The 8,078-nt window shown below is 51.5% G+C and overlaps 1 annotated feature.

The window, feature by feature from the left end:
* Positions 5,700-6,202: an enhancer, noted in NCBI's record as "OCT4 hESC enhancer chr10:133148496-133148998 (GRCh37/hg19 assembly coordinates)". NCBI's record gives its function as "activates a minimal SCP1, AML or CMV promoter by ChIP-STARR-seq in naive H9 embryonic stem cells {active_cell/tissue: H9 hESC(naive)}" and the evidence as "EXISTENCE:reporter gene assay evidence [ECO:0000049][PMID:30033119]".

The following is an 8,078-nucleotide window of genomic DNA, read 5'->3' on the forward strand; positions in this document are numbered from 1 at the left end:
CGCGGTTCCAGGTATCAGCTCAGAGGGAGAGGCATCGGGGCGCGCGGTTCCAGGTATCAGCTCAGATAAGTGCATCGGTTCTCTATGCTCGCAGGACCACTGTGGAACAAATGGCCCCCACACTCAGCGGCTGAAAACAATTAACGTTTATTTAGTTCGTGAATCCCTGGGTTGGCTAAGTGGTTCTTTTGATCTTGGCTGGAGGTTGTATGGCCGTCAGTGGGACTACAGCAGGTTGTCTGACACACCTTAGAGGACCTGCTTCATCCTCTGGCAGGTGCCTGGAGCCTGGTGCTGAGGAAGGCAGAAAACAGCCTGGGAAGCCGAGCCTCCATGTGCTTTCTGGGCTTCTGCTGGAACTACAGTTGCTGGCACCCCATCGCCAGGGCACTTCCCTGCCTGGGTCTGGAGTCAGAGTTGACAGATGAGGGTTCCACAAGTGGGAGGGAGGGCGCGTGGGGCCATTTTGAGATCCGTCACAGCAGGTCTGCTTCTGGCCAGCCATGGCAGACTCCATTCTGAAGACCTCCTCACCCTCTCATGCATGGGCCTGGCCTGATGCAGCTGAGCTGGGGTGAGCGAGCCACCTCTGTGTGGTCTCCATGGCACTCAGCGGCTTTTGTGACCCAAAGTCGCAGCTTCTTGCCCTCCGCATGCCTGTCATGTGGGCCAAGAAGCCCAGCCTGGCACATTGATGCCATATCTCAGTTAGCAACAGGAGGGACAGTGGGAGGGATGGACCCTGGGGAAATAGGGATGGTTTAGGAGAAGAAATACAGAGCGCCACTTTGGGAGGCCAAGGCAGACAGATCACCTGAGGTCAGGAGTTTGAGACCAGACCAGCCTGGCCAACATGGCCAAACCTTGTCTCTACTAAAAATACAAAAATTAGCCAGATGTGGTGGTGTGTGCCTGTAATCCCAGCTACTTGGGTGGCTGATGCAGGAGAATCACTTGAACCCAGGAGGCAGAGGTTGCAGTAAGCTGAGATCGCACCATTGTACTCCAGCCTGGGCCACAGAGGGAGACTCTGTCTCAAAAAGAAAAGGGAAGAGAAGAGAAGAGAAGAGGAAAAGAAAAGAAAAGAGAAAAAAGCAAAGAAAGGAAAAGAAAAGGAAAAAGGAGGAGGCAGGCCTTCTACGATGGAGGAAGGGCATCTTGGAGGGGGAAGCCAGGCTTTGTGTGCCTAGTGGTGCGGTCTGAGACTGACCCTCTGCAGGTGGAGATGAATCCTAGGCGGGAGCCTTCTCCTCAGTCCCGGGCCACACAACTGTCCCCTGGGATGGCAAGGAGGGAGACTTGCCAGACACCAAGCTGACAGCAGCACCAGCTGGTGAAGGCCCCTTTTCCAACCGCACGTCTCCTGGAAGAAGCTCGCCAGCACGGGGCACCACCTGGGGTTTCACCTCCGTCCTCCAATCTGACTCTGCAACCCCCAGTGCTTGTCCAGGGTTCCCAGCGGGCACGGGCTCTGTCATCACGGGGGAAAAATTCCCTTTGGATTCAACAGCTGCTCACTGTTAATTCTGGTTCTTTCAATATAGGTTTTGTGAATTTGAGCAAATTATGTAAGATCTGCCACCCTCCTCTACTCAGGTTCCAAAACGGCAGTTGTAAGTTCTGCTTTTTAGGCTCATTTTGAAAAATAGAGATTTGCATACACATTCCCTAGATGCCATGCAGGGAGTTTTACCTACATGTGACATAGAGCAAATAAAATATTAATAGCATGTTACTGTAACCTCCAAACTCACAGTGTCCTCCAGTAGCCTGGGATGGACACGCTTCCTCAGCCTTGGTGTTTGTATTTTCTTTGGTGTTGTGTAACCACAATGCTGGTCCAGAGATGTTCCAAGCAGACACGCCGCTTACAGCGATGGGACATCCTGCACCTGGGCCTCAGCCTGGACAGCCCCTTCCCAAGTTGCCTGCCGGGCCTCAGGAGCTTCTGCAGGAATGTCACATGGGGCTCAACCAGGCATGGGGATGGGGTGACAAAATCCCCACCCCAGACGCCTGCAAGGCTGATGTTTTCTCATGGGAAAGAGCACCTCCAGGTAGATGTCAGGGGCACTGGGCCAGCCTCCCAGACCGGGTTCTGCTGGTTTTGTTTAGACTCACCTCCTGGCACCAGGCACAGAGCTAAGCAGAAAGACGTCTGTTAACAAATATTTGCCGGACATCAAGCTTGTCTGTTCAGCACCAGCTGCTCATTAAACACCTACTGGGCATCAGAATCTAGGTCAGATTCTTAGATCTTCAAGAGTGACAAGTGGGCTTTGAAGAGCTGACAGGCAGTGAACATCCCTTCTTTTTCTCTCCTTCCTTCCTTCCTCCCTCCCTTCATTCCTTCCTTCTTCCTTCCCTCCTTCCTTCCTTCCTCCCTCCCTTCATTCCTTCCTTCTTCCTTCCCTCCTTCCTTCCTTCCTCCCTCCCTTCATTCCTTCCTTCTTCCTTCTCTCCTTCCTTCCTCCCTCCCTCCCTTCATTCCTTCCTTCTTCCTTCTCTCCTTCCTTCCTTCCCTCACTCCTTCCTCCCTTTCTTCTTCCTTCTCCCCTCCCTTCCTTCCTTTCTTCCTTCCTTTCTTCCTTCCTTCCTCTTTCTCTCATTCCTTTCTTCTTCCCTTCTTTCCTTAATTTATTCCTTCCTTCCTTCCTGCCTCCCCTCCCTCTCTCCTTCCTCCCTTCCTTCTTCCTTCTTCCTTATCTCCTTCCTTCCTTCCTTCCTCCTTCTCTCATTCTTTCCTTCTTCCCTTCTATCCTTCATTTCTCCTTCTCTCCTCTTCCCTTCCTTCCTTCTTTCCTTCCTTCTTTCCTTCCTGCAACACCTCATTTTCTCCAGCCCGGGGACCAGGCCCAAGTCAAGGAACTCACAAGAATGCAGATGACAAACCTAGCAGGCAGGTGATGGCGATACAACTGAAAACCATTTTTTTGAATTTTGTTTTTTCTAAATGATGTTTATGATTATAAATTGCGTCTTAAGAAACACTCCACAGCCAAGTGTCATGCAATAGAAAGGTTCCTGTTGAGCTGTATTTCTGACCATGTGGCTGGCTGTAATATATAAGGCTTTGGAAATTGAACTACTGTATTGAAAAATCTGGAGTGCAGATGATGCTGGAATGTGGGTGAATTATAGGAAAGGTGAGGATCCTAAGCCAGGCAGCACACTGCTTTTAGGTGTGACCAATCACCTTGCATCAGGGTAGAAAACCTTCATGGTAATGACAGGGCTTCCTGCAACCCTCACCCATGAGCTTCTGGGAGGCTTTTGCTGCAGGAGAGCAAAGGTGGTGGTCTTTTCATTGCCAGCACCCTGCAGAGCCAGGAGTCACTGCAGAAGGGCTTGGCAAAGCTCCCTCCTCCATCAGACTTTCTCCTACCCAGTCCTCCCACCAGCAAATCGGCTGATGGAGACCGAAGCCTCAGTGTGTGCCTGGCACAGCAGCAGCAGTGTCTCCTGAGACCTTGTCAGAAAGGCAGATGCTGGGGTCCTCCAAGACCACTGAGCCAGACACTGGAGGCTGGAGCCCTCCAGGGATTCTCACGCCCCTACAGCCTGAGAGCCCCTGCCCTCCTATTTTAAGTCATCTTTAAAGGACGCAGAGTGTGAAGTTTGCTGCAAGTCGCTGGATTCTGAGTCTGCTCTTTTAAGGGTATGTGGGTTTTTTGTTTTTTTTCACTTGATCGGTTTCCTGCAGCCTTGAGATTTCCTAATAGAAATTGCTCCTCCAGGACCGTGGACCACCTTCCCTTAACCTCATCGTAGGAAGTCACTCAGACACTCAGACCTGGCCTATCCCACACCAGAAAATGAAGGATGGAAACGACACAGGGATCGGCAGAGGATAGTCAACCCACTTCGTCCCCCAGGTCCCGGGGCGAGGGCAGGCACAGCGCAGTCCCCCTGTGCAATGCCACCACGCCTCACTCCCTGGGCATCGGTGACCCTGCAAGAAAATGAACAAGCTTATTATCATTTGCAGATGTTGGTGAGGACTTTTTCATCCCTAAGGTGTGAAGACTTCACCAAAAATAAAGGATTTTTTCTGATTTCACTGAGAGAAAATCACATAATACAGGGAAGCTACAATTCAATTCTCGAAGTCCAGTGGTAAAACTCTTTGATGACAATTGTGTATATTTATGGAGTCTTACCACATGTGAGGAACTGTCTTTTGCCCCGTAAATTTAAGTCACCTGGTGCAAACCTCCAGCAGGCTGTGGAGATAGCTGCTGAGACTCCACTTATTCTAGTGATGAAGAAACTGAAGCAAAATGCTGAGTGACCCAACCACCCATCTAAGCTCCTAAAAGGGGAGCCCAGAATTAGGAAGAAGCAGCCAGACCCTGGGAGTGACACACCCCCATGGTCCCAAGTTGCCAGGGCAGAAAGGAGCAGGTGACTGCACTCAGAAACCCTCACTGTGTGCACCTGTGCAGAAGCTCACCTGCATGCTCCAGATGAGGCTGGGGAGGAGGAAAGGGACAGTCTTCACGCACTGGCTCAGTGTGACTGGGGTCATGTGTCTGTGGTCAGGGCCTGGTCATCTCCAATGAATCCCTCGATAGCGTCACGATAATGGTATGATGGTCAGGAGAGGAACCTCCATCCAGACTGGCCAGTTTGCCCCTGGTTGGATCCTTCTACGAGGGGTTCTGGCAAAGACCCAACACCTCGCAGGTGAACAGAGTTCAGGTTGACTCTTCTCAACTTGGGCTCAGTTATCACTAGCCAGACGGAAGCTCTGGGCATAGTTCTCGTGAGCTATCAGCCTTCTCTTGCCAGGGCCTGGGGAAGCCGCTATCTCCAAGAAAGCCAAGCGGCAGCTGAACGCAGAGCCCTGGGAGTGCTGACCTGCCAGTGTGTGCCACCTGTGTGTGTCACCTGTGTCATCTGTGTCTACCACCTGTGTGTCACCTGTGTGTATCACCTGTGTGTCACCTGTGTGTGTCACCTGTGTCATCTGTGTCTACCACTTGTGTGTCACCTGTGTGCCACCTGGGTGGGCCACCTGTGCACCAGCTGATTGTGCCAACTGTGTGTAACCCCCATGTGCCCTCTGCATATGCATCTCCTGTGTGTCACCTGTGTGCATCACCTGCGTGACATCCCACCACCCTTCCTGGGCTATATCTCCTTTTCCAAGATCCAGTGAAGCCTCTGGAAAAAGCCCGGAGGTAGGAGACCCAGGGTGGGCTTGCTCCGCCATGGTCCAACCCCTGACTTGCAGGCCTTACTCCAGCAGCTCCTGCTCTGGGTGCTTTGCCATAAACCCCCAGTTTTTCCCTACAAAGGGCTCTGCAGGTGGTGCTCAGCAAAATCCCAAACTCCTCTCCATCACTCTAAGCTGCATTCACCCTTGGGAGATTCCTGGCAGCATTCTCTTCACAGTACCTCTTGAGGTGGCCTTTGAGGTGGGGACAGTCTCTGTCATCTCCTCACCCAAACTCCCCAGCATGGCTGCCCAGCAACCACCCTCCTTCTAACCACCTTCACTGAGCAGCCAGGGCTTCTGGTTGACCTGTCGCAGACACCTGGGTCTGGTTGTCTCTGGGTTGCAGCAGTCCCTCTGTTCCTTCTGATCCTTGGACCTCAGGCCCTCTTGCCTCGGAAAGACAGACAAAGGAGGCTGCTCCTCCACCTCATCCTCCTGTAAGGCAGCAGCACTCCTCAGTGTGTCTGTTGCTCAGGAGTAGATTCGCCTACCTGGGCACTCATTTGATGGCATATTTCCGGGCCCCATCCCAGGCTTTGAGGGGCAGAATCAGTATTTGAGTCCCAGGTACTTGTCATGGATGTTACAGGCTTGGAGTCAGAGCCCCGAGTTCTCATTTCCCCTTCAAGCAACCCCTGCTCCCGGGAGTGAAGGAAGAGAGATGCATTTAGTCCTCAAGGAAGTGGGGTCTTCCAGCTGCAGAGGCTGGGAGCTTTGTTATGCATTAATTCTTGGTGCCCCGTTGTGAGGGCCAGATACCAGCAAATGTAGCAGCATTCAGCCAAAGCCCCCATTTGGTGGAGGTTTTGCACAGGGAAAATTCATGTGAGTTGTGTGGGTCGCCTTTGGGGGAAATCTTTGTGTTCAATCTTTATTACCCAAGGATCAATCGCACTCCGGAGATTTGCTGTTTGATGTAATATTTATCTACAGACTGTCGGCTATTGTTTTGTTGGGCTGGTTCCCCTCCAGAGCCCTCTGATTGTCCTCCAGCTAGTGGGATGGCTGCATTAAGATGCATTTCCGTTCTTCTCCATGGATGCAAACAATACACCCGGAGGTTGAAAGGTGGCCAGGATAACAGAACGACAACGCGACAACGCAGAGGAGGAGACTTTTATCCTCCTCTGCAGTCCCTGCCAGACACACCATGTGGCTGTCGTGAGCACTTCTTTATGTGTGCGGGATGTTTTATTGTCCATAAATCTCAAAGAGCCAAACTGCGGTTGTCCTTGCTGGAAGGAAATAATCTCTTGGTAAAAGCTCAGCCTCTGAAGGCATTGTCTATTCCCAGAGGTGAGAAAGTGAGATGCGCCAGGATCCAGAGCATCTGAGGGTTGTGGAGGGGAAAGTGCTGTCTTTGGGGGGGTCTCCTAAGCTCCTGTGCACCCCAGAGGAACCACCAGGGAAGCCCTAGTGGGTAGGGGATGAGGGTATTACACACCAGATGATGGGGAACGGCTCAATTCCTCTCATGATGAGGCTGGGGAGGAGGGAAGGGACAGTCTTCAGGCACTGACTGGGTGGAAACACCGCCAACAGAAGCTTGTTCTGGCTGGGCAGTGGCCTTTGGGCAAGGCCAACTGACAAAAGTGCTGGACTGAAGCTGTTGACTTGCAGGAAAGCCCACCTCTCTCCCAGCTGAGCCCCGCAATCCAGGTATTCGCTCCGATACCAACCTGACCTGCCTTCTGGGTCCTTCCCAATCCAAACTCCCACTTATTCCTCCTGGAACCTGATAACAACAGCTGAGCCCAAATAAAGTGGGAGACATTGAGCTATCAGTGGGCAGACATTGTGTGCCGCGAGCATCAACTAGAGAGACAGACACCTGTAATGAGTAACCAGTACATGACCACATATATGGAATCTCAGTGGCCTCCTACCCTTCCTTCCCAATCCCGTCCCCATCTTATAAGGAAGAAGGCTTCTTAAAGATCAGAATTCCCTTTTTTCCTTGCTATTTCCACCTCTGATTTGCTACTGTTTCTGTGACTGAGACATGTGATTGAGAATGTACCGCAGGGGATGCTATGGCTTTTCGGGGTTGCTCTGGGAATATGGGGGATTCGATGTCCACATTAGGACTGGAGGTGTGGCTCCCAGCTCCACCTTGCATTAAAATCCTTTCCATAATTTGCACCATAACTTTCAGACACAGAAAAGGGCCATGAAGATCAAAGTTAATCAGAACCTGAACTCTGATGCGTCCAAACAGTGACAGCAAAGAGCAAACAGCAGGTGCGTGATCACACCAGGCACCATCCTACCACTTCACGTGTGCAGTCAGATGCCACATAAAATGCCTCAGTCAACCATGGACTCCACTTATGACAGCACTCCCATAGGTTATAATGTATGTTTACTGTAGCTTTTCTATGTTTAGATATACAAATCCTTACCATTGTGTTACAATTGCCTTCCAGTATTCAGCACAGCCACACGCCGTCCAGGTTTGTAGCCTAGAGCACTAGGCTACACTAGATACCTGGGTATGCTGGAGGCAGTACCTCCTAGAGTATAGCGTAAGTACCCTCTAGGAGGCTTGCACAAGGACAAAATCTCCTCCTGATGCATTTCTCAGAATGTATTCTCATTGTCAAGCAACACATGACTGCACGGCATCTCGGATCCTCATGGCAGACCTCTGAGGTCCATGCCCCTGTCACTATCATGCCCGTTTGGCAGTGGAGGAAGCTGAGGCAGAGAGGGGCTACGTGCTTTGCAGAGTAACACAGCAGGGTGGGGGCAGGGCCAGGATTAAAACCCCAGCTTAGAATCTGCGTTTTTATCCTACACACTGCAGGCCCCAAACACATCATGAAAACTGCATGAAGTCAACATTGCAGATTTGGGC

The sequence above is a fragment of the Homo sapiens genome, chromosome 10, assembly GCF_000001405.40.
Source record: "Homo sapiens chromosome 10, GRCh38.p14 Primary Assembly".
Lineage (NCBI taxonomy): Eukaryota > Metazoa > Chordata > Mammalia > Primates > Hominidae > Homo > Homo sapiens.